The sequence below is a fragment of the Homo sapiens genome, chromosome 12, assembly GCF_000001405.40.
Source record: "Homo sapiens chromosome 12, GRCh38.p14 Primary Assembly".
Taxonomy (NCBI): Eukaryota; Metazoa; Chordata; class Mammalia; order Primates; family Hominidae; genus Homo; species Homo sapiens.
The window spans coordinates 48,048,848-48,075,729 of NC_000012.12; the positions used below are offsets into that span (position 1 = coordinate 48,048,848).

At 36.8% G+C, this 26,882-nt stretch overlaps 1 protein-coding gene and 1 pseudogene across 16 annotated transcripts in view; both read right to left on the minus strand.

Moving 5' to 3' along the window:
- The window catches only part of SENP1 (SUMO specific peptidase 1), a 63,183-nt gene that overhangs the window by 5,951 nt on the left and 30,350 nt on the right, over positions 1–26,882 (minus strand). For 12 of the 16 annotated variants that reach the window (NR_051992.2, NR_051991.1, NM_001267594.2 and 9 more), the window contains 8 exons: positions 25,843–25,946; positions 25,477–25,760; positions 22,820–22,874; positions 18,080–18,118; positions 16,749–16,833; positions 16,218–16,373; positions 14,863–14,994; positions 82–285 (listed from right to left, as the gene is read on the minus strand). Coding sequence is in view for 14 of the 16 variants with exons in the window: in NM_001267594.2 (NP_001254523.1) it covers positions 82–285; positions 14,863–14,994; positions 16,218–16,373; positions 16,749–16,833; positions 18,080–18,118; positions 22,820–22,874; positions 25,477–25,760; positions 25,843–25,946 (1,059 nt within the window). In the remaining 2 variants the exon portion in view is untranslated. The remainder of the gene's footprint in view (positions 1–81; positions 286–14,862; positions 14,995–16,217; positions 16,374–16,748; positions 16,834–18,079; positions 18,119–22,819; positions 22,875–25,476; positions 25,761–25,842; positions 25,947–26,882) is intronic. The other 4 variants (XM_017019237.2, XM_047428752.1, XM_011538244.4 and 1 more) reach the window with 1 other exon arrangement.
- RPL37P19 (ribosomal protein L37 pseudogene 19) lies at positions 6,121–6,406 on the minus strand (annotated as a pseudogene).

The window sequence follows — 26,882 nt, forward strand, 5'->3', positions numbered from 1 at the left end:
TAGAACTACTACTCACTACCCTCTGTGTGTTCTATAAGTACATAGCTTTTACATTTTATCAAAAATGAAAGGGGTACTCACAGCTAGACACCAGTGTACTCCCAGGTGAATGGGCACCAAAAGAATGTCAACAGAAAATACATCTACTTTCTTTGTCCAACGTTTCACTGCCTGATAACCAGCCGTTTTTAATTTAGTGAAGAAAAAGGTATTAAATGCATGCACACTTGGCAAGCCCTTCTCTTTACTTCGCTCCATCAGCATATTCATGTAGAAATTGATGATCTGTGGGAAGAAATTACACCTATTAGAATAGACACTCAGGCCTAGCCTTTCAAAATAGTTGCAGTTGCTGTGTTGAATAGCATATGTAATTGTTTCCTAATAAACTGAATTAAGTCTTCAACATCCAACAGATTCATTTCTCTAAATCAAATTCTGACTAGAAGGGGGAAGGCTGAAGTGCTATAAATGGTGAAAAGAGAAAAAGCTGACATATATATTATGGGGTTGGGAGTACAAATGGGCAGACGCTGGCCAGGCTTGTAGAAGACTGAAGGTTAGGTCAAAAGACTGCAGGAAGACAGGGGTGTTAAGGTGAGGCTTACAGAAAAGGAGAGGAAGGCATGCAAGCAGTTTAATAATGCACATTAGCAGTTACCTTTATCTACTGGAACTGTGTGAGCAATTTAAGTAGATACTGAGCTCAGTTAGCGCCTAGTGTTAGTCAAGTTAAAATCAAGAACTCAAATTTTATATGACAGCCACATGGTTTTACACAAAGATGGAAAACTCTGCTCCATGGTTAAAGACTGCCTTTTCAACTTAATAACCCATCCTGCAGAGGCAAACTCTTTTGGTCTCAAGTAGAACTAAGTGACAGGAGAAGCCATTAATTATACTGGAAAAACACCTGTAAACTGATAGTAGCTCAGCAATGTCACCTTTATATAAAGGCACACATGGAAGTATAAAAACCTACCTTATATGAGACCTAAAGTCAAGTCACAAACATGAAGAATAACGTTCTACCCCAGAATCTATATGGTTAGCTTTCTCATCTTTGTTGATTCCATTTATGCCTTCAATATTAAGTGTGGAAAGAAATTACAATGGCTGAGTGGGGAGATGTGTGATTCTTTGTTAATGAAACGACATCTTCTCTAATAGTGACTATGTTGTGTATGGTTCCATTAGGTCCAGGACTCTTTGGTACTAAAACTTGAAAGTTATCGTGCCGGAAGTTACTGCATACTTACTTTATGTGGCCAGCTGAGGTCAGGCCAGTGTCTGTCAACTGCAAGGAATGAATGGGCTAACTGATCCACGGCTTGGAAATATGACTAAGAAAACAGGCACATTTTTCAGAATGCTTTTTGGGGAATGGGAAAATGCCCCTGTTCTTTGACAAATATTTACACACCAGGATGCCAGAACAGTGAGCTACTGCCCAACAGTAAGCAACGACATACTGGGTAGGCAGCAGGGGAACACTGCCAGGAACACACCGGAGCACGGTCTAGACCAGAGAAAGGGCCTATAGATGAGGATGCCTAGGCAGCTGCGGGAAAACCACACTCGCCATGAGGCAGAGCTCTGAGGTAGGGGAAGGCTAGGACTGAAGAAAGACACTGTTTTCTCTGCAGCTGATGACTGAGCAACAGGCCCAGTCAGCCCAAAGGACTCAGGTTGTGGCTTATTCTCTGCCTAGTGTGATGCCCAATAGATAACTGGAGATCAGTTGTTACAGATAATAATTAATCAAGACACAATTAGAATCAGGTATTTCTTAACTATAAGTTTTCAGTCTAACTCTGCCCCTCAGGATAATGGTGCTAAAGACTGCCTCTAGGTTTCCGAAGGCAGCCATAAATGCAGTAGGATCTTCCCAGCAAGTACAGATTTCTAGGCTGTAAACTATGTTCTCTAATGAGGAAAAATTGGCAAGAAGGAATTCACTGATTCCTCTGGCCTTCTACCCATCTTATAATGTTGGCCATGTTATAGGGTAAACCCTTCAATCCAAGACATAAGCAGATGATCTGCCAGTTACTGTAAGCGAAACCTTCCATAGGGGCAGACAGCTTATATATTCCAACAAGAAATAAGGACTGAAGCAGGAGGTGAAAGGAATCAGGCAGAGAGATAAGGACGGTGAAGCACATGACAGCCATGGAAATACATCTCCCCTAGGTGCCTATCAGAGATTACCTCTGGAATCGTAAGTCTGAAGTGAAAAAAAAAAAAAAGAATGACATAAATGAGTGTCATGCTATACATCACTATTCTATTTTTCAAGAGGAAAGAGTTCCAGAAACCAAGGAAGCTTAGCTGGACTTACACAGCCTGAGTTTTGCTTGTTTTTTCACCTTCAGAGGGTTCACTAGAAAGCTAAAGACCAACACAGCTGAACAAGAACAGAGAACCCCAGTCATCAGACACCATGGTATCTGTTCCCTTTGAGAATTCCTCTTCCATTGCTGCACCCAACCAAAGTTTCTCAACTGAGAGGAAAATGGCCTCCAAAGTCAACTAGTTAATTAGCTCTAAGGAATGATCTGGGTTCTTTTTCATTTCCCCTAGATCCCAGTAGAAGGGAGTTTGGTGACCTCAATGCTCCCCACATTAGCTGAGAATGTAAATCTGACATCCAAGGCAGAATCTGGATTCAAGTCTTTCTCCTCAATTTTTTTAGCTATTACACCATCCAAATGAGGAAAATTGCCATAGTTCAGCCAAGACACAATTAAACCAAAAAAATGAGCTAAGAGAGAACAAAAAAGTCCTACATGTCATCTCACAGAGGAGGGCTGAAGATGAAGGAAAAAGAAATGAGAGAAGGGATCACAGTGTTCAAGATGAAAGAGGAGCAGTGATGGTCACAGCATTTGCTTGACTTTTGTGAAGACAACTGTCCCCGACGCCAAGTTGGCAACAGCCCTTTCCTCAAACAAGACTCTCTTAGCACCAGCAGATCCTAAATTCCCTTTGAAATGAGCTAAAAGTAGATGAGTCCTGTGCTTGCTATTTGTCTCACCAATATACCACAATCTGAGGACTAACTGTCAACATTAGTCCACCTGTCACCTTTTCTGGGACCCACACTTGCCTCTATTTGCTCACTGTGGCTCTTGGTGCTTAAGGAGCTACCCTTCCTGCTGCCTTTGCAGCCTTGGCCATAAGCATCTACTTGTCTATGCAGTCATGTTTAGGGATGGGTGGGTTGTTTATAGTGCCTTGTTCCTTTGAGATTTTATTTGAAGAGCTGCCAGGCTGAAGCTGAAAAAAGCTTTTCTTTCAGAGAAAAGCCTACAATGTTTTCAAACTAAGGATTCAATCTTTTTCCTGTACATTACCACAATGACATAAACGACCAATGCTATTTGTATCTTCCTTCTTCCCCAGTAAACCAGCCAAACTATTGTTTTCTCATGTTTTTAGAAATAAAACATTTCACTACCAGTAAAGTCTTGATTTTTAGCCATTCTCATGCTTATAGTTTGAACTCTTCTAATTAGCTTGAGAAAAAATGTTCTAAAAGGCCTGGGCATGACAATACTTCTGAGCAGAGATCAAGACAACTTTTGGGGGGACAAAAGCCATTTTTCCAATTTTACCTCTCTAGATTTTCACCTTGACCTCCCCATTCTGATTTTCAAATTAAATTTACCCTTATCAACCACAAAGTCCAAGAGACTAACAGCAGCATTTGAATAGTATGGTTCAGGTCATTCACTCACAGGAGCTAACCTAGTAATATTATAGAAACCAGGAAGGCAGGTTTCCCTCACTGCAAACATGCACACAGAATTTTTCTTACATGCCAATTCAAGGAACAAATTATCAGAATTAAAGCTAAACTTTTAGAGAAAGACAGGCAAGCAACATGTTTATGGAGTCATTTATGGAGAATAACTACTATTCTCCATGTGACCTTGCATAAATCCCTGGTTAATCAGGGCTAGTTCTATTTAGAAACACTTCAAAGAGATAAACCATAATAATGTGGAAGCCAAAGAGTCACGTTAGAAAACTTTAGTTCTGATCGTTTTATTCTACACGTAAGTGTACAGCAATGGTGGATTCATCATAGTCACTTAACTAATTTATTTCATTTTGCCTAGTTTTTTTCCTTCTTATGCAATCAGCTTTTATTCTCTAAGGAAAACCTATTCCTAAGGCTAGGTTTGTCTGGTTGAACTTAATGTTTTGCAGGTTGTTTCCTCTCTTTACTGAGCATCACTCAGATTTAACTACTCCTTGGAAAAATTATCAAACTATGACCACTACCAATTCCCCCCGTTCCCATCAAAAATATATATTCTGAAAGTTAGAATGCTAGACAAAGCTGGGTGTGGGCTCCTGCCTGTAATCCTAGCACTTTAGGAGGCTAAGGTGGTAGGATCACTTGAGGCCAGGAATTCGAGACCAGGCTGGGCAATATAGTGAGACTTTCTCTCTAAAAACTAAAAACCAACAAAAAAGCCAGGCATGGTGGCACATTCCTGTGGTCCCAGCTCCTTGGGAGGCTGAGGCAGGAGGATCACTTTAGCTCGGGAGTTTGAGGCTGCAGTGAGCTATGATCACACCACTGCACTCTAGCCTGGATTACAGAGTGAGACCCTGTCTCAGGAAAAAAAAAAAAAAAAAAAAGAATGTTCATCAAAATGCAAGTGCTCTGGTTCCAGATTCTGACTCTGCAATAAAAATCGGGTGACTTTAGTACTTCCCCATAAAGTTTTGCTTCTTATTTTATGCCACCAATCAAGTAAGAATATGCTCTCTACACACCAGGCTATTGTGATGCTGAATAGCTGAGAGATATCTCTTTCTTTTCAGAGATGAAGCTTACCAAGTAGGTAATTAGTCTGCCTGGTTAGCTGTAGTTTCAGTGTAATTACAGTCTGCTATGTAGATTCTAAATTCCTCTTTCACCATCGTCCTGTCCCCCATATTTCCTATGAGTTTGTTCCTCATTGGCCTTTCACTAGCTGGTGAAGTTAGAAATACTGTATTCCAACAGTCCAATGCTTTTCCAATTGGAAACAACTGGTAATAACTAATATGGGTTTATAGAGTAGAACCCATCCCCCAAAAAAGAGACATGTCAGCTTGCTATTTTTCCAATTCATCCACGTAAATTGACAGCAAGGAATGAGAGGGAGAATAGGGTCTTGGGGGGAAAATAATAGAGAGACAGGAAATGCTCCAGTTATCCTGCTTCACGTAGGATAGGGCATAGAGGGCTGAGTAGAGGAAGTGTTCCTGGTGTACAAACATTTGGGTGCATAGGATCGATCTACCTGTTCCAGTCTTCTATATCCTTACTGATTTTCTACTTATTCTATCCATTACTCAGAGGCAGTGAAACCTCCAACAGTAATAGATTTGTCTATTTCTCCTTTCAGTTCTATCAGATTATGCTTCACGTATTTCGAAGTTCTGTTATTAGGTGTGTACATATTTAGGTTGCTAAGCCTTCTTGATGAACTGACCCCTTTATCATTAAGAAATGTCTCTATTACTGATAATATTCCTTGTTCTGAAATCTAATTTGTATAATGTTAATAAGTCACTTTTTTGAGTCATGTTTGCAGGGTATATTTTTTCTGTCCCTTAACTTTTGTAAACCTATGTCTTTACATTTAAAATGGTTCCTTGGCCAGGCGCAGTGGCTCACATCTGTAATCCCAGCACTTTGGGAGGCCAAGGCAGGTGGGTCACCTGAGGTCAGGAGTTCAAGACCAGGCTGGCCAACATGGTGAAACCCCATCTCTACTAAAAATAGACAAATTAGCTGGGTGTGGTGGCAGGTGCTTGTAATCCCAGCTACTCGGGGGGCTGGGGCAGGAGAATCGCTTGAACCTGGGAGGCTGAGGTTGCAGTGAGCCAAGATCATGCCATTGTACTCCAGCCTGGGCAACAAGACCAAAACTCCGTCTCAAAAATAAATAATAAATAGTTTCTTACAGACAGCTTTTTAATCCAATCTGACAATCTCTGCCTCTTTTCACATATATGTAATACAGATATAACATATACATATAAACATATATATGTTTAAAATATATACATTTTTAAAAACCGGAATATTTATTGTGTGACTAATCATTGAAATTCTTAAGATGAACTGGATGACACAACTGCTGCCCTCTTGGGTGTAGGTGTTGTTCCTGCAAAGAATCCATGCCTAAATCTGCAGTATACAATGTTTAGGTGCTTCATTCAACCAGTCGCCGTGGTATTTTCTTTTAGCCGTGGCAGTCCAGTTACACTTTCTCTTGCGCTTGGCAGGGGAGCCACATTTGCCACAGGTTGACTTCTGAAGGTGGTATGCCTTAGAGCCACAGAGGCAGCACAACTTGTGTATCATATCACGACACTTTCCAAACGGCGATGTTCCCTTCATCTTATTATCTTTACGGATACCTGCCAGACACCCTCACCAATGAATCCTTTTGCTGTTACACAGGGCCAAACATTCCCAAATCTCTTCCCTTAGCTCTTAACTGAGGTCAGAACTGTGCAGGCTCCCCAAAGATCAGACTGAAGCAAGGGACACAGTGCGGCTCCAGCTCCACAATTATGGGCTTGGTCCCCCAGGCATCAGTCAGCAGCTATTCTTCTGGCTCATGAGGGCCATTGCATGCCTTTTTCCTGCCCACCAGCTTCCCTTATCCGGAAATTTGCTGGCCTCCCCAAGGATAGCCAATATCTGCCTTTTAATTGGATGTTTACCCTATACTGTTTAGTAAGGCAGCCACTAGCCAAATGTGACCATTGAGCACTTGAAATGTGACTAATCCAACCGGAGATGTGCTATAAGTGTAAAATCCACAGCACATTTCAAAGAGAAGGTAAAATATCTCAATAGTATTTTGACTACATGCTAAAATGACATATTTTGTTAAATAACGTTATTGAATATATAATATATATTATTTAATATATAAATAAAATATATCATATTAATATATATTTTATATATTTATATATATTAATGTATAAGGTATAATATATTAATATATTACATATTATGCAATATATAAAAATATTAATATATTTATATATTATACATTACTATATATAACATATATTAATAATATATGTAATATATCAATATATAATTTAATACATGATATATATTATTTAATATATATTTTAATATATAACTTAATATACTTAATATAGTATAAATATATACTGTATACTTAATATACAGTATATATTATATATTTACCATACAGTATATATTATTTAATATATATTTAAAATATAGTATATATTATTTTATATATATTATTTAATATATAGTATATATTATTTTATATATATTATTTAATATATAGTATATATTATTTAATATATATTTAAAATGTAGTATATATTTTACATATAATATATATTTTATATATTACTTAATGTATTATATATTACATATATAAAATATTATTTAATATATTACATATCACATATATAAATATTATTTAATATATTACATATAATATATTATTTAATATATTACATATATATTTAATATAGTACATATTACATATATAATTATTTAATATAGTACATATTACATATATAATTATTTAATATATTACATATTACATATATAAATATATTATTTAATATATTACATATTACATATATAAATATATTATTTAATATATTACATATATAAATATATTATTTAATATATTACATATATAAATATATTATTTAATATATTACATATATAAATATATTATTTAATATATTACATATATAAATATATTATTTAATATATTACATATATAAATATATTATTTAATATATTACATATTACATATATAAATATATTATTTAATATATTACATATTACATATATAAATATATTATTTAATATATTACATATTACATATATAAATATATTTAACATATTACATATTACATATATATTATTTAATATATTACATATTACATATATAAATATATTTAACATATTACATATTACATATATATTATTTAATATATTACATATTACATATATAATATATTATTTAATATATTACATATTACATATATAATATATTATTTAATATATTACATATTACATATATAATATATTATTTAATATATTACATATTACATATATAAATATATTATTTAATATATTACATATTACATATATAAATATATTATTTAATATATTATATATTACATATATAAATATATTATTTAATATATTATATATTACATATATAAATATATTATTTAATATATTATATATTACATATATAAATATATTATTTAATATATTATATATTACATATATAAATATATTATTTAATATATTACACATTACATATATATTATTTATTATATATAAAAAATACATTATATATATATTTTTTTGAGACAAAGTCTCACTCTGTCACCCAGGTTGGAGTGCAGTGGTGTGATCTTGGCTCACTGCAACCTCCACCTCCCAAGTTCAAGCGATTCTCGTGCCTCAGCCTCCTGGGTAGCTGGGATTACAGGCGCCTGCCACCACACCTGGCTAATTTTTGTATTTTTAGTAGAGACAGGGTTTCAGCATGTTGGTCAGGCCGGTCTCAAGTTCCTGACCTCAGGTGATCCACCTGCCTCTGCCTCCCAAAGTGCTGGGATTACAGGTGTGAGCCACTGCGCCCGACCTGTATTATATATATTTTTATGTAAAAATATATTATTTATATATAACATATATTACCTATATATTATTTTATATATTTTATATATGTATATATTTTTTAATTGAAACAGTCTTGCTCTGTCATCCAGGCTGGAGTACAGTGGCGCGATCTCAGCTCACTGCAACCTCTGCTTCCTGGATTCAAGTGAATCTCCTGCCTCAGCCTCCCAATTACAGGCACACACGATGACGGGCTAATTTTTTTTATTTTTAGTAGACAGAGTTTTGCCATGTTGGCCAGGCTGGTCTTGAACTCCTGACCTCAAGTGATGCACCCACCTTGGCCTCGCAAAGTGCTGGGATTATAGACGTGAGCCACTGTGCCTAGCCTTAAATATGTTAAAATTAATTTCACCTGTTTCATTTTATTTCCTCTTTTTTTTTTTTTTTTTTTTTTTGAGATAAAGTCTCGCTCCATTGCCCAGGCTGGAGTGCAGTGGCGTGATCTCAGTCACTGTAACCTCCACCTCCCAGGTTCAAGCGATTCTCCTGCCTCAGCCTTCCAGGTAGCTGAGATTACAGGCATGCACCACCATGCCTGGCTAATTTTTGTATTTTTTGTAGAGACGGGGTTTCACCATGTTGGCCAGGCTGGTCTCAAACTCCTGACCCCAAGTGATCCACCCGCCTCGGCCTCCCAAAATGCTGGGATTACAGGCATGAGCCACTGCACTCGGCCCATTTTACTTTTTTAAAAGTAACTATTAGACAATTTAAAATATGTGGCTCACATTATATTTCTATTGGACAATGTTGACGTAGATAATTTACATTTAATATCAATGTGGTTGAGTTTAAATCTACCATCTTGCTCTTTCTTCCTATTTGTTCTATTTGTTCTTTTTATCTTTTTTCTTCTTTCCAACTCTTTTGTATTTTTAAAGCTCCATTTTGCCTCCATTATTGGCTTAGTAAATATATCTTGCTTTTAATTTTTATTTTTTGTGGTTACTCTATGATTTACTATGGCTTTAACGTACAGTCTTCCTTCATATAACATTTTACCACTTTATGTAGAGTAGAAGGATCTTCCAACAGTATATTTGTCCATTTTGTCTCCTTCTTTGTGCTGTGATTATATTTTACTTCTGTATGTTATAAATCCCACAGTATGTTGTTTTAGTTCTGCCTTAGTCACCTGTCTTCTAGAGGTATGAAAAAATGAGAGCAATTCCACTCTTCATTCCTTTGTGTAGACTGACATTTCCATTTGATATTCTTCTTCCGCCTGAAGAACACGTAATATTTCTTCTGGTACAGGTCTGTTGGTGATGCATTTGTTTGTCTGGAAAAGTACAGCCTTACTTTTTGAAAGATATATTTGCTGGGTATAGAATTTCTACTGACAAATTTGTTTCTTCTGCAGTACTTCAAAGATGTAGCTACATTGTCTTCTGGCCTGCATCGTTTCCGACAGTTATTCCTATCTTTGTTCTTCTGTACTTAATGTGCCTTTTTCCTTCTCGTTGCACTTAATATTTTTATCACCAGTTTTCAACAACTTGATTACTATACATTTTAGCATGGTGTTTCTTCTACTTGGGGTATGGATAACTTCTCAAACTTGTCAGTTCAGTTTTCAAATTTGGAAAATCTTCCATCATTATTTCTTCAAATACTTTTTCTAACACCACCTATGCCCCCACCTTTCCTTCTGGGACTCCAATTATATGCTTAACCTGTCTGGTATAATCCCACAGCTCACTGATGCTCTTGATATCTTTCTTTGGCTTTTTTTGTGTGTCTCATATTCAAGTTTCTATTGCTATTCAAGTTTACGAATTTTTTCTTATGAAGTGTCTAATCTATTAATACTACCTTATATATTTTTATTTCAGATATATTTTTCATTTCTAGAAGTTCAAGGTCGGTCTTGTTTAAAAAATATCTTCCATTTCTCTCCTCATGATGTCCATTTTCTTCTATCTTCTTGAATATGTGGAAGATATTTATAGTAACTTTTTAAAAATCCTTGTCTGCTAATTCTATTATTTTGGTCATTTCTGAGTGTTTCTTTTCTCCCTCATCATAAATTGTACTTTCCCGCCTCATGTATGTCTGGTCATTTCTAGTTGGATGCTGGATATTGCAAATTTTATGCTGGGCCTTGTTGTTGATGGAATTCGTTGTATTCCTTTAAACATTGTTGGCTTTTCTCTGGGATATAGGTTATTTGGATCAGTTTCAGGCTTTTGAGGTTTGTTTTTAGGCTTTGTGATGGTGGGTCCAGAGCAGCCTTTATTCTAGGGTCAGTTTTGCCCTATTTCTGAGGCAATACCCCTCTGAAGATTCTATTCAATGCCCTGTGACTTAGGAGGTTTTTCTACTCTTAACTGGTTGGAACATAAACTATTGACACCTGTGCTGGCTCTAAGACTGCTGATTCCTTCTTTCTGGTGGTTCTTTCCCCAGCCTCTGGTAGCTTCTTTTCATACATGCACAAATTGGTACTCAGCCAAAGACTGGAGGGAAGCCCCTCTGCACAGACTCTACCAGTCCCTCCTTCACAACACACACACCCCACCCTAGAAAGCTGGGGATATTATAGCATACATACCTTTTATTTCCCTTCCTCAGGGATCACTGCCTGGTACTACCTGTTATCCAATGTCTGAAAATTGTTGTTTCATCTTTTGTCTAATTTTCTAGTTAAGTTGAAAGGGTAAATCTTGTTTCCTTTATCATGACCAGAAGCAAAAGTAAGTTTTATTTACTTGTATACCTAAATTATATCCATGTATTTCTAAATTTATCTGATGCCTTTTAAAACAATCCTTAGTCCCTCAAAGGAGAACCATTTGGCCATAAAGAGAAACACAAAGCCTAAAGCAGTACTCAGGATAATACACCTAGAATCTTAAAGTTGGAAGGGATTCCAGAAGTCATCCAATTCAATCTCCAGGAATTAATACATAGTTTCTAATAATGACACCCATTTGAAAATATTTCCTTCTGTTTCTTGACTGCTTCAATCTACTTCTACTTTTGCAACTAATTTTTCCTCTCTCCCTTTTTCTAAAAAACAGACAGGATCTCAGAGTCTTGTTCTGTCACTCACCCTGTAGTAGAGTGCAGTTGCACAATCATAACTCACTGCAGCCTTGACAACCTGGGCTCAAGCAATCCTTACACCTCAGCCTCTCAGTGTTCGGATTACAGGCATGAGCCACTGCTCCCAGTGTAATTTCTCCTCTCTTTAACTCTATCCTCCCTTCCCTTAATTAGATATTTCTATTAGTAACTAATCTCCTGACCCAGTATAGAAATCCCCATCTACGGTGTCTTGATTGTAACAGTCTTCTTGCCTCCTTTTGTATTCTTTATATGGCAGCCAGTTCCCACATTCCATTTTTGAGACGTTTTATTATATTAATCCTGTCAATCATTAGTCCTTTGAAGTTGTACAGAATTTAACCAAACTGACCTATAGAGAAATCCATTTATGAAAAAAATCTTAAAACCTACTGTATGAATAGGTACTGTGGTCACTCTTCTTTTAGGAACAGGGTATCCTAATGGCTTTCCATACATATCCCAAACATAGGATTTCTGGATTTTATTTTCCTTATAAACTGAATCTGATTCCTTTTACTTCCTTGCTCTTATATTACTTTTTAACTCTGAAAGCCTACAAAGTATGGTACTTTGTTTATAAAATGATAAGAACAATGTATCAGTCACCTATTTTGGAGAAAGTTTTAATACATCTTATAAAGCAGGAAACAGAAAAAGAAGAGAAATTATTATTAATGAAAATATCTACTTGAGGGAAGAAGAGGATTGAACAGAGGACAAATCATTTGCAAAAGACTGATAGTTCACAACTGAGAAACAGAATTAAGTTTTGTATTCTTTTGAAGACACAGAGTCTTGCTCTGTCACCCAGTCTAGAGTACAGTGGCTCAGTCATAGCTCACTATAAACTCAAACTCCTAAACTCAAGCAATCCTCCTGCTTCAGCCTCCTGAACAGCTGGGACTACAGGCATATGCCACCATGGCTGGCTAATTTTTAATTTTTTTGTAGAGATCGGGTCTTGCTATGTTGCCCAGGCTGCTCTTGAACTCCTGGCCTCAGGTGATCCTCTCACCTTAGCCATCCAAGGCACTGGGATTATAGGCATGACCCACTGTGTCTGGCCAAAATTAAGTATTCTTCAATGAGTATCAATACTTAAGGATACCTAATAATACTCCATCAGGATGTTAGCTTCTCAAGGGCAGTAACTTTGAAAGCCTACGAAGTATGGTACTTTGAAAATGGTGCTTTTTAAGATAGCTCCCATCATTATTATGGACATGTGAACTGGCACTCATTTTCAAGGATAACATCATTCTGAACTGAGAAGAAATGCACTCCTTCTACAAAAGTTATGGCTAGGGGTGGTAGGGATAAAGTAGACAAAGAATCTTTCCTTCTTCTCATCTCCTCTAAAATAATGTAATTTCCATTAACTTAGCTTGCTAAAAATCCAGCCTCTGATGGGCCCAGGGAATGGAAAATATGTCCTGATGAATGCTGTCTCTGTAAGGAATCTCACTGAGGTAAATGCCACAGTAAATAGCAAGAACTCAGCTCATATCCTACTGATTGCTGCCCTCTAGGAGGTTTTCCATGATTTACAACAAACTAAAGCCTACTATCCCTTTAGAGTAACTGACCTCGCACCACCAGCAATGGCAGGAAATAAATGGCAAAGGACCACAGATCAAAAATAACTTATCAGTGGATACTTATAACTATCCTTGATTTAATTTCCTCCTTTGATTTGGTGAGCTCTTTTTTTCCATTATTTGAACCAATGTTCTAATATCTGAGCCAAAAGAGGCAAAGAGGGTTTCTTCTAAAGAAAGACAGTAACAAACCATGCCTTCCTTATTATTCTTGGTCACAGATATTATTCAGGGAGTGATGAGCTTCTGAAATTTTTATCTTATAAACCAACCAGTGGCAAAAAGAATGGGGCTGGCCCCAGAGAAAAAAAGCATCCTGGACATGATATATGGCTCCTAAGTTCTATATATCTGATCCTAAGACCAGTATCCAATTTAAGATTCTGAGGTAGTTAAGATATAGTAGATAAGACCCAATGCTTGGGTCTTAATCTTGGCTCTGCTGTTTACTAGCTGTATAACCTTGCAAGTTTTTAAATCTTTCTATGCCTTGTTTCTTTATCTGCAGAATGGTGAACTATCATATCTACTTCCAAAGATATGATGACTATTACAAGAATAAAACACATAAAACATGAATCGTACTAATGAGGTAAATGATCAATAGTTATTGGCAAATATTATTTGGAAGGTCTTGATCATACAAAAACAGGATATGGATATCTAAAATATTTAATGATTACTACACTGAGAAACTAAAAATCCTCCACAGCTGTGAAGCTTGAGTATACCCAGATTAGCCAGGGATGCTTATGCAAAGAAGGTACTTAGGAAAAGATACCCAACCCAGTTTTCTTTTGCTGTAAAAATAACCTTCTAAAATAAAACAGGTACCTACAGGTTTAGGCTTAGGAACAGATCAGTTTAAAAACTGTAGTGTAATTAATATACTTAAAATAAATTGGAGTTAGGAGGTGAAGACCGTAACTTCTCCCCCAATACCTCAAATATTTAATAATAATATAACTTTTTCAATGTCCATTTAAAAAATATCATACATAAATGGAGGCGATTTTGGAAAGCTTGTCATTCGTAATATAAGTGATCTAAAATGAGTAGAACTTAGGTAGAAAGGGAAGTAAAACTGGATTCCTATAAAGAAATCCCACAGTATTCCCTCATGCTGCAACATGGTCGGCTAATACTTATTTGTTCAGAAGAGATGAACTGCAGAATAGGAGCCTTAAAGAGTGAGAATACCAATGAGTGAATGTCTTCTTCAATGTTCAAATCTTCAACAAGAAAAGGTAAATTCAGTGGTTCTCAGACTTTAAAATACACCTGAGATGTTTGTTAAAAATGCCTGTCTCCACCACACTCCCTCATAGTTACAAGAATGAAGAGGCCTATGAGAGATGATTCCAATGCAGGTCATCCATGGACCACATTTTGAGAAAAAGTGAGATAATGCCTTAATTTAACTGCCACTTAATGTTTACTATTTGTATGTAAAAATAGATGCAACATTACCTCATCATTGAGCCAATTCAGATGGTTTAGAGTTTGAATATCTTTGCGTGTAATGGTCAGGCGAAATGCTTCACTGAGAACTTCATCCTGATTCCCATTACGAAATACATTCTTTATTTCTTTCTCCATTTCCTAAGAAAACAAAAGGTGTCAAGACATCAAACACGCGTGGCTTCAGAAAAACCGTATTTCTCACCAAACCCCATATAATCCTCAGACTATATTTATCACCATTCGATTGTTTATAAATTTACTGTTAATCAGTTTACTTCTAACATTTTGGTTTCTATTCCTTCCCAGTAATCCCCGATTACTTCTTTCCACTTCATCTAGTCCTCCCTTCTCTTTTTCAGCACAACATTCAGATCCTTGTTTCCATATTAATTCCTAAAGTCTGGAACAACCTTCCGCTATCAAATTTTCTAAGCACATGAGAAAAATTAACTGTATTTTATATCTCTGGTCCAAATGACTTCCTGAGAAACAGAATTTTTCATAAAAGGTAGTAAGAGAGTAAAGGCAGTATCTTTTAGAAATTACTTTCTTAGAGATCTTTTTTTTTAAATGTAAAGTATGGAATTCAGTACAACTATAATAAGTGTGTTATGCTCACCAGCTACATGGTAGTGTTTCAAAGAGAAGTATGGATAAAGAAACGGATTATCTAAAAATGTACACAGACCTCCATGTATTTTCCAAATTTTCTATAATGGGTTTTATTACTTAAAAAAAGAGCAAATCTCAGCTTACAATTTGAGGTCAAACTATTGTATGTGTGCATTAAGTAAAAATGCACATGACATGAAAGACAAATGTATTAAATGCTTCTTCACTGAAACTGTTAAAAGCCACCCATAGTTCTTTCATAAATTTTCAATATTTTAAAAATAAAGCCCAGATTGGTATATAAAATAAGCGAAAGCTGAAATATACAAGAAAATTTAAATAACACGTGTTCTATGGCTTTTTGTGTGTGTGTGTATGTGAGATGGAGTCTTGCTCTGTCACCCAGGCTGAAGTACGGTGGCATGATCTCGGCTCACTGCAACCTCTGCCTCCCGGGTTCAAGCAATTCTCCTGCCTCAGCCTCCTGTGTAGCTGGGATTACAGGTGCATGCCACCACACCCAGCTAATTTTTGTATTTTTGGTAGAGATGGGGTTTTACCATGTTGGCCAGGCTGGTCTCGAACTCCTAACCTCAAGTGATCCACCCGCTTCAGTCTCCCAAAGTGATGGGATTACAGGCGTGAGCCACCGTGCCTGACCACTATTGCTTTTATGTTTGAAACTCATCCGAGGGATTCTTTCTAAACATGATACTTAGTAGTGTAGAAATTAAGTGTATGTAACTTACCTCTGTAATTTCAGGAAATTCATCTTCACTATCAGTTAATTTATGACCTTTTTTTTGTGTTTCTTGGACAACAGTAACAGGAATCTCCTTTTCAAGAGGTACACGAAGATGTAGTTCTACTGAATCATGTACTGAATGTTCCCGCTCCTGCAATCTCTGAAAGATAAAACTTCAGAGTAAGTGGGATAAAGAAATCTGTGGATGTTCCTTGATTTATGATAGGGTTATGTCCCAATAAACCTGTCATAAGTCAAAGAGCGTGCTTAAATGCCCATTGCTTTCGCTTTTTTGTAAAGTCAAAAAATCATTAGTCGAACCATCACAAGTAGGGGACTATCTATATTTGTCTTATGTACAATGAGTAGCACTGACTGGACAGACCAAGAACATTTACGACATATCATAACATGCTATGCTACCATACGATCTTGGAATTACAACAGCAATTACCCAAATCTGGGTAACTTTCCAAAATAGTTTCTACTTTGATGTACTATTTATTTGTAATATTATTCCAATTTTCTTTTTTACCTGGTTTTGAAGCTGTAAGGCCAATGCCTTCTGTTCTTCAATCTGGCGCAATCTTTCTCGTGCTCGAGAATCATAAACACTAGTTCTAGAAAATGAAAAGGAACGTGACCAAATGTAGACCACTCTCATTATGAAACATATTGTTGATGTACACTGAATATTAAATACAGGACCCTCACAAAGAAAGTCTAAAATCCTTACACTAACTTATCATCCTTATTTTAAGACATAGAGTGAAACCACATAATGTTACTGAAATTACTCTACCATTTTTACTTATTATTTTTTATAGAGATAGGGTCTCACTACAGTGCCCGGGCTAGTCTCAAACTCCTGGGCTCAAGCGACCCCCCTACCTTGGCCTCTCAAAGTGCTAGGATTACAGATGTGAGCCATTGCACCCGACCTATTTTTACTGAAATTACTAAAAATATTAGTGTGCTGCTAAATGTGAACAGATGACTTGTTAACATTTGTAAACACACAGTTCTTTTCTTAACATGCTTTTAAGATTATAGTGAAAGCGAAACTTCAGTCTGGAAATCCAAAAATGGGATTGAACCCTAAAGGAGAAACGAATACAAGATATCACTGAAGTTTAATTCAAATACTTCATTTTTGATAGATTTTTAAAAAATTACCGAGACCGAGGGGTTTGGATAACTTAAGTTCCTTAAGTGAGACTAAATGCTTTCAGTGATTTTGCAAAGTCCAGAAATATGAATTATTCAATAAATTAGTTTTACAAATGCCAAAATAGGATCATTTATTTTCCCTATTATATAATAGCTAACTCTATTTTTCCAATTTAATTTAGCTTCAACAATTGTTATAGATTTAATAAACATAAGTATAGAAATGTTCCAACTCCAACAATATTTTGAAAACCCAACAACTTAAAAGTATAAACAGGCACTTCTTTTTTTTTTTTTTTGAGATGGAGTCTTACTCTGTTGCCCAGGCTGGAGTGCAGTGGCGTGATCTCGGCTCACTGCAACCTCCACCTCCCAGGTTCAAGCAATCCTCCCGCCTCAGCCTTCCAAGTAGCTAGGATTACAGGCGCGTGCCACCATGCCCAGCCAATTTTTGTATTTTTAGTAGAGATGAGGTTTCACCATGAAGGCCAGGCTGGTCTTGAACTCCTGACCTCAGATGATCCACCTGCCTCAGCCTCCCAAAATGCTGGAATTACAGGCGTGAGCCACCGCGCCCAGCCTAAACAGGTACTTCTTATTGGCAAAAAATAAGCAGGATGATTAGCTAATTGTTTGATTTCTTCTAACTAAAAATGAACTGATTGAGAAGGAAAAATGATACCAAAAATAACTTACAATTCTTTGATCCACAGCTCTGCCTGGAAGAAAGTAGAACTATGGGTAGGAAAAGAAAAATTTGACAAATGAGCAGGAGGCTTATGAGAAAATTAAAATATTTTCATCAATAAAAACAATCATTTAAATTGTTTATATGAGTGCTTTACAAGTATGGAATAAGTAAAAGGAATCTAAATGACATAAAATAATTGTAACTAGGAATTAAGGAGACACAATCCTTATGCATACATATTAGTTAAAATCATATGGATACATATTAGTTAAAAAGGTGACCCAAAGTTCAGCAGAGATACTACATTTGGCATAGCTCCCTACTTGCATGAGACCAACATTACGTGAAAGAGGACATCACTTCTCAAAATAATACATTAAGCTAGAACATTGCTCTTCCCAAATGACTCAGATTGAAAGATTTATTAAAAATCCCCACACACAAAATAATCTACATCAAATGGCTAACAAGCCAATGAGCCAAAGCAGAGAATCAGCAACACAACTTCCTTCCAAAGATGACAGGCCAATTCTAGGTCCATGTGGCTCTGCTGACAACCCAAGTGATATGCTGAGCAGAGCCACAGACATGATTAATTGTCCTAGAGCCTCTTGTTTTTCTCAAACTTCCTTATCTCCAAACTCCTAACTAGGCAGGATCTATCACAGAAACACAAAGAAGAAGAGTGAACACTTTTCCAAAGAAAACTATTAAATATAGAGAACAAGTAAACAGAGCATCAAATTGGGAGTTAAGAGACCTGGATCAGAGGCCAGGCATGGTGGCTCATTCCTGTAATCCCAGTGCTTTAGGACGCTGAGGTGGGAGAATCGCTTGAGCCAAGAGTTCAAGACCAGCCTGGGCAACATAGTGAGATTCTGTCTCTTAAAAAAAAAAAAATGATCTGCAACTAGAATAGTGCTTGGCACAGAGTAGGCATTTAGTGTTGTTTGTTTGTTTTTTGACTCTCACTCTGTTGCCCAGGCTGGAGTACAGTGGCACAATCTCGGCTCACTGCAACCTCCACCTCTCGGGTTCAAGAGATTCTCCTGCCTCAGCCTCCTGAGTAGCTGGGATTACAGGCACCCGCCACCACACCTGGCTAATTTTTTCTTTTTTTTATTTTTATTTTAGTAGAGACGAGGTTTCACCATGTTGGCCAGGCTGGTCTCGAACTCATGACCTCCGGTGATCCATCCACCTTGGCCTTCCCAAAGTGCTAGGATTACAGGCATGAGCCACCATGCCCAGCCATATAGTATTTCTTGAATAAACAAGTAATGTAGGGACAAGCAGTTTTCTTCAATGGATCAAGGTATCCACTGGCTCCGGAAAACAAAATGCAGGGAAAATCTGCTTTTCCAAAGAGATGCATTATTTCTCATATAATTGAGGCATATAGTAATAATAACTGCAAATGTTTTTGAGCACATACTTAGTGCTCTACATGTAAAACTCTGCTCTAGATGTTTTATGTATTAGTTAAGCCTAATGAAAATCCCTATACTATTTAAACCTCAACATAATATATAAAAAAGAATTATTACTCATACTGTACAGAAATGAAAAAGGAGGTTCAAAAAGATAATTTCTCTTGAAAGGCTAGGATTAGAAATCTTATCTGTCCAATTCCAAAGACTGTGTTCTTTCGACTGTGCCTTTCAATAGATGAAAGCATTAAAAAAAAGCGGGGGAGGAATAAGTACTTGGGCTACTCAAGAGAGCACTTCAGGCTATCTAGGAAATTCATTTGTTTAACAAAGATTTATTTACTGAGCACCCATCATATGCCAAGCACTATGACCAGCAATGGGTGACAGATACAAAAGTATTAGTAACAAACAAGGTAGAAGGATGGAGGGAAAAACTAACATTATCTGGCAAAGTCAAAGAAATCTTCTGAGAAAAAAAAAATAACACCTGGATGAGATTTTGAAAAGCAAAATTAAGGCCAGGCACAGTGGCTCATGCCTGTAATCCCAGCACTTTGGGAGGCTGAGGTGGGTGGAACACCGGAGGTCAGGAGTTCGAGACCAGCTTGGCCAACATGGTGAAACCCAATCTCCACTAAAAATACAAAAATTAGCTGGGTGTGGTGGCATATGCCTGTAATCCCAGCTACCCTGGAGGGTAAGGCACGAGAATCACTTGAACCCGGGAGGCGGAGGTTGCAGTGAGCAGAGATTGTGCCACTGCACTCCAGCCTGGATGATAGAGCAAGACTCTGTCACAAAAAAAAAAAAAAAAAAAAAAAAAAGAAAGAAAGAAAAGGAAGCAAAATAAGAGCTTACCAAGTAGACAGAGAGAGAAAGGGACATCCAGACAGAAGGATCAGAATGTATAAAGGCAAAGAGGTATGACACAGCATAGCATATTCTGGGAAATAAAAGCAGATCTTCATTACTGGAACTTAACTGAGAGGCAGTAGTGGAGAATTAAGAGTAGAGAGCCAATAAACCAAGCCTCAGCAGAGTAGGCACCAACTTTGACAAAGAGCATTGCTCAAACAGCCTTACCCAACAGACCATTTCTCCTGCCATCTCATTCTTTAGTCATCACTAGGGGAAATCCTCCGTAAAGGAAAGGCAGTCTTAGTAAAGAACCATTAAGGAACTGAGATCAACTCTTTACCTGAGAGATCAACTTCTTCCCAAGAAAGTTGCATGCATCTTGTGGCATTTCATGTGAAGCACTTATAAAAATAAGTGTTTTATCTGTAAGTTAATCTTCACAATTAAGTGTAAGGTATCAATACTGGCATTTTATTGATAAGGAAACTGAGGTTCATAAGAGTAACTTGTCCAAAGCTACATGAAGCCTTTTCCAACCCAAGATCAGAAGGCAGATCTGACTCCAAAAAAGATGTAAGAAATAAAGAATCCAAACTATGAAGTCTCCCCAAAAGACTTAACAAATAGAGAATTTTAAGAAATATTTAAAGCTTAGAACATATGGGGAGCTGCAAAGAAGTAGGGGAACTGAGATGAGAAAGAATATTTCATTACTCTTAATCTTCTCAACGGAAAACTGATATTATTCTCATCCTAGCAATTGAATTCCCAAAGCCATATATGGCAAAGGCATAGCAATCATAGTAATGGTTACTATGGATTACTATTACTGTATTACAGAGGAAGAAGTATTTGATACCTCCAGATAAGTAAAGTTTCATGCAGAAGTTCACATGTGAGTTGAGACCTAAAAGATAAAACACTACTGACAGACAAAGTTGAGGTACGGAGGACATTCCAGGCAAAAAGAACACTGAATGTGAAGGTAAGAAATGCTTATTGTATTTGCAAACTGAAAATAGTCCAGCTTATAAAAACACATGAAAGAGTCCCATATTTCCATATGGCTCCCTCTTACCTCCATCATGTCTCTGCTCAAGTCACTTTATCAGAGACTTTCCATGACCACCCTATACAAATAGTATCCTCCCAATCCTACTCTATATATTACCCTGCTTCAATTTTCTTCATAGCACTTATCACAAGGCATATACATTTGTTTATCCTTCCCCTCAAGTAGAATGCAAGCTCCTTGAGCATAGGGACTTCACATTGTCCTTCATCCTTCCCCTCAAGTAGAATGCAAGCTCCTTGAGAATAGGGACTTCACATTGTTCCCTATTATCCTCAATATTTATACTAGTACCTGGCACACAGTAGGCTCTCAGTAAATATTTGTTAAAAGTGAGAAAGTGAGGCTTGTGAAAGAAGTGCTTTGTATACCATAGTAAGGAGCCTGAGCTTAATTCAATGTCTGATAAACCACCCTTGAAGGAGGTTAACAAATAATCATTAAACCCCTTTAATGAATGATCAGACATGAATTCTGAAAGATCACTCTGATTGCAGCATGGAAGATGGACTAAAGAACACAGCAGGCCGGGTGCAGTGGCTCACACCTACGATCCCAGCACTTTGGAAGGCCAAGTTAGGAGGATCGCTTGAGGCTAGGAGTACAAAACCAGCCTGGTCAACATAGCAAGATCCCGTCTCTACAAAAGAAAAATTTAAAAGTTAGCCAAGTATGGTGGCATGCATATGTGGTCCCAGCTGAGGCAAGAGGATCACTTGAGCCCAGGAGTTCAAAGCTCCAGTGAGCCATGATTGTGCCACTGCACTCTTGCCTGGGTGACAGAGCAAGACCCTGTCTCAAAACAAAAACAAAAACAAAAACAAATGAAAAAAGAGCAAGGCAGAAAAATTGTTTCAAGAACATGGTATGGTGGAAGACGGAATGAAGAACAAAATAGAGGCTGAAGGAAGAACAATTATAAAGCCACTAAAATAATTCAAGTAATACGTGAGAAAGGTCTGAATTGAGGTAGTTTTACATTATGTAACTTTTAGTGAAAAAGCTGTGATTAAAGAAAGGGAAAACAATATGTTAAGAAGAAACTTTTAGGCCAGGCATGGTGGCTCACGCCTGTAATCCCAGCACTTTGGGAGGCCGAGGCAGGTGGATCACTTGAGGTCAGGAGTTCGAGACCAGCCTGGCCAACACAGCAAAACCCCATCTCTACTAAAAATACAAAAATTAGCTGGGCGTGGTGGCGGGCGCCTGTAATCCTAGCTACTCGGGAGGCTGAGGCAGAAGAATTGCTTGAACCAGGGAGGTGGAGGTTGCAGTGAACCAAGATCGCGCCACTACACTCCAGCCTGGGCAACAGAGCGAGACTCCGTCTCAAAAAGATATATTAATTAATTAATAAAGAACAAGCTTTTTCCAAAGTTTACCTGGGAGTTGGAGTCTGGGAATCTTTCACTTTCAGTAAAATCACAGAGTCTGATCCTAAAGAAACACAAGAGCATTTCATTAGTAATAAAACTCCACAAAGTTATACTTTCTAGATATCTTAGTTTAAGTTCCCATACTTTGCTATATTTTATTTCCACAAAAATAACATAAGAACAAAGGTTAGATGGGAGAGAGAGAGAGGCAAGTCCATTGTCACTGAGAACAGAAATAGGTCTTAGTGAAGAATTTGCTTCACAAATAAGAAAATCCCTGGGAAATAACAAACATATTTGCCCTTCAGAATTTCCTCCTAGGCTGCACTTGCTCCCTGTGCTTCCTGTCTGTTTCAGGAGAACAAGAACATGGCAGGATTCCTTAAAAGTCTTCATGGTAGTCCTCTATCTGCAATTTTGGTTTCTATGGTTTCAGTTACGCATAGTTAACTGCGGTCCAAATATATTAAATGGAAAATTCCAGAAATAATTAGTAAATTTTAAATTGCATGCCATTCCAAGTAATGTGATAAAAATCTCTATCCAGCTCTATTTCAGGCATGAAATCATCCCTTTGTCCAGCATATCCATGTTGTATGCACCACCTGTCATTTAGTAGTCACCTCAGTCATCCAATTGACTGTCTCAGTATAGCAGTGCTTGTGTTCAGTAACCCTTACTTAATAATGTCCCCAAAAGGCAAAAGTAATGATGTTGGCAATTCAGGTATGCCAAAGAGAAGCCGTAAAAAGTGCTTCCCCAGCCTGGCCAACATGGTGAAACCTGTCTCTGCTAAGAATACAAAAATTAGCTGGGCATAATGGCTCACACCTGTAATCCCAGCTACTCAGGAGGCTGAGGCAGCAGAATCGCTTGAACCCAGGACATGCGAGGTTGCAGTGAACCAAGATGGTCCCACTGTACTCCAGCCTGAGCAACAGAGTGACACTCAGTCTCAAAAACAAACAAAAACAAAAACAAAAACAAAAAACACTACTTCCTTTAAGTGAAAAGGTTAAAGTTTTTGATTTAATAAGAAAAAAGTAACATCTTCATTACAGTATATTGTTATAATTTTTGTTATTAGTTATTATTGTTGATCTCTTACTGCACCTAATTTATAATCATTAGTATGTATGTATAGGAAAAAACATGATGTATATAGGGTATGGTATATATAGTATACTCTCCATGGTTTCAAGCATCCACTGGTGGGGGGCGGGTCTTGGAACATATCCTCCCCCCACAGATAAGGGGGAACTACTGTAGTTCATGATCTACAATGCGACTGAATTAGGTGAAAGAAGGGGTGGGGGAATGGAAGAGGGAAAGAAACTGGAAGAAGGAGGGAAGGGGGACAGGGAAGGAAATAGCACCCCAGGAGGTGTCTAAAAAGTACAAATTTTATCATTCTATTATGTATTTTCTCTGTTGAATACTACTCAAAGGCAGGAATCATGTTCTTCTAAAGTGCTGTCATTAGAACCTCAGAGTATTTATTACATGGTACAAGGAAAGTAATTAAACAGTGCAATGTAGTATATTTGTTTCAACTTAGTTGTATCTAAGTATCTGCAACACAATGTATGTTTCTGAGGTTAAAGGAGTTTGGGTTTTTTGGCTTTTTTTTTTCCTTTACAGTTCTCAGTACATCACCTCACAAAATATAACAAGAGTCTTCATGGATATGTGTAGCTATACAATGATGCTACCAAAAAGTTTAATCCTGAGTGAGAATTTTCACAAAGTACAAATAGATTAAAAAAAAAACCTCAAACAACCTGAGAAAGGAGGGGAAAGACTAGTGCTCCATCTATCAAAAAATCCCTGATGTTTAACCATTTAACCTATAACTTGTTTTAAGTTGCATACCTAAGTACATACCATAAATTGATACATAATACATACCTAAAGAAGGGGGAAATTAAGGAAACAAACCTATCACGACAAAACCTTAATTAACTGGAATGCAAAGAGAGTGAATATTTCAGTTAGTTGAAAGTTACGTAGAAAACTTTTTGCTTCCAATGCTGACAATCATTCTAAAACGCACAAACCTAAGTACTTAAGCTTCAGTATTTATCTGATGTTTCAAAACTCCTACAACTTCAGAATTCTTACTTACCACTGTAAAGTCATAGAAACAGAGAAAGTGCTGAAGCAATTGGGCTGAGTATATATACTTTGACTCTAGCCTGTACTTAGGAAGTTGTTTAAATAAAATGTATCAAATCATTTGCATCTTGAGGTAAGAAAAAAAGAATATCCTATTTGTGGATTTAGTTTACTCACAGCATGGTTAACTGAATCATATGTATTTAAAGTATGTAAGTACATGTCTTACAAGTTCAGTATCCCTTATCCAAAATGGTTGGGACCAGGAGTTTCAAATTTTGGATTTTTTGGACTTTTGAATATTTGCATTATACAATTTGAGCATCCCAAATCCAAACATCCAAAATCCCAAATGCTCCACTGAGCATTTCCTGAGTATCATGTTGGTATTCAAAAAGTTTCAGATTTTGGAACATTTCGGACTTCATATTTTCAGATTCGGTATGCTCATTTATTTATATGTATATTACAATGTTGCCTGTAATGAGCTAATGAACAGTTAATTGGCTATTAGGACTAAAAATGTAGTTATATGATACCATGTTTACCTTCAGATTGTGTATTTGAAGCTGCTAAGTTATCTGGCTGATGTGGAACAGAGTGGTGATGATGGGGATGATGAAGAGTACCAGAATCTTTGGATCCAAATGCAACATCTGGGGTATAAGAAGATAGGGAATATACACTGTGGGACAGCTGTTCCTGGTTAGTTAAAATGCTGGCAGATCCAGATGATGAAGTATCAGAGCCAATGATCTGAGATGCACAAGAGTTTCCATTTTTAAACAGTGAGTCTTTCAAAGTATTTTTACTGGAACTAAGACATCGAGACCTAGCAAGAGAAGAATATTGTTTCAATATCAAGTAATAAATTGTAGAATTAAATTCATCTGAAATATGCTTCTGTGACTCACAGGTGTAAAGGAAAATGTGTGGTGGGTTTGGCTATAGTAAACTGTTTCCCTGTGACCATCTGTAGCAGCTGTCTGTAAATCTCTCTTTCTTCTTCTTGAACTGTCTATAAGAAAACAAAAAAAAAAAACAGTTTAAACACATCCAATAAGGCAAGTATTTCTCAAACTAGCATGTAAACAGAATCCTAGCTCTGCCAAAGCTCAGGCAGAATCCTTAAGATAATTAAGAATTATGGGCCTAACACAGTGGCTCATGCCTGTAATTCCAGCACTTTGGGAGGACAAGCGGGGAGGATCATTTGAGGCTAGAAGTTCAAAACCAGCCCAGTCAACATAGTGAGACCCCAACTCTACAAAAGAAAACTTAAAAAAAAAAACCAACTGGCTGTAGTGGCACATGCCTGTGGTCCCAGCTACTGGGGAGACTGAGGCAGGATAATCACTTGAACCTGGAAGGCGAAGGTTGCAGTGAGCCAAGATGGTGCCACTACACTCCAGCCTGGGGGCAGAGCAAGACTCTGTCTCAAAAAACAAAACAAAACAAAACAAAACAAAACAAAACAAAAATTATCAAGTGTGTAAAAGACAGGTTGAGTAAATACCAGATAATATACTTTGAAAAATTATGGAACATATATTTAAATAATAGTGCAGAGGAACTATAGGCTATAAAACCAGAAAGCCAGCAGGTAATCACTTCTGAGTCAAAAAAGAGTCCCAGAAAAAAAGGGCCTCTAAATTAGGATTCCAACAAATCCCTTGACTCCTGAAACCTGTTAGAAAAATCACAAGGAAGTAACCAGACTAGTCAAAATCAGAGTGGAGTATCTTGCCAACAGTTTCCTATTTTATTTAAGTGCAGGTACTTTCCAGAGACAATATTCATCTCCAACATGTATTTATTTTTCCTGTAAGACCCAATACTACATTTAGTGAAAACCATATACTTCCTAACATTCATTCATTGACATGAACACCTACTATGCTCCAGTCACTAAAGATAATGAATGCATCAAATAAAATAAAGTTCCTGCCCTTGT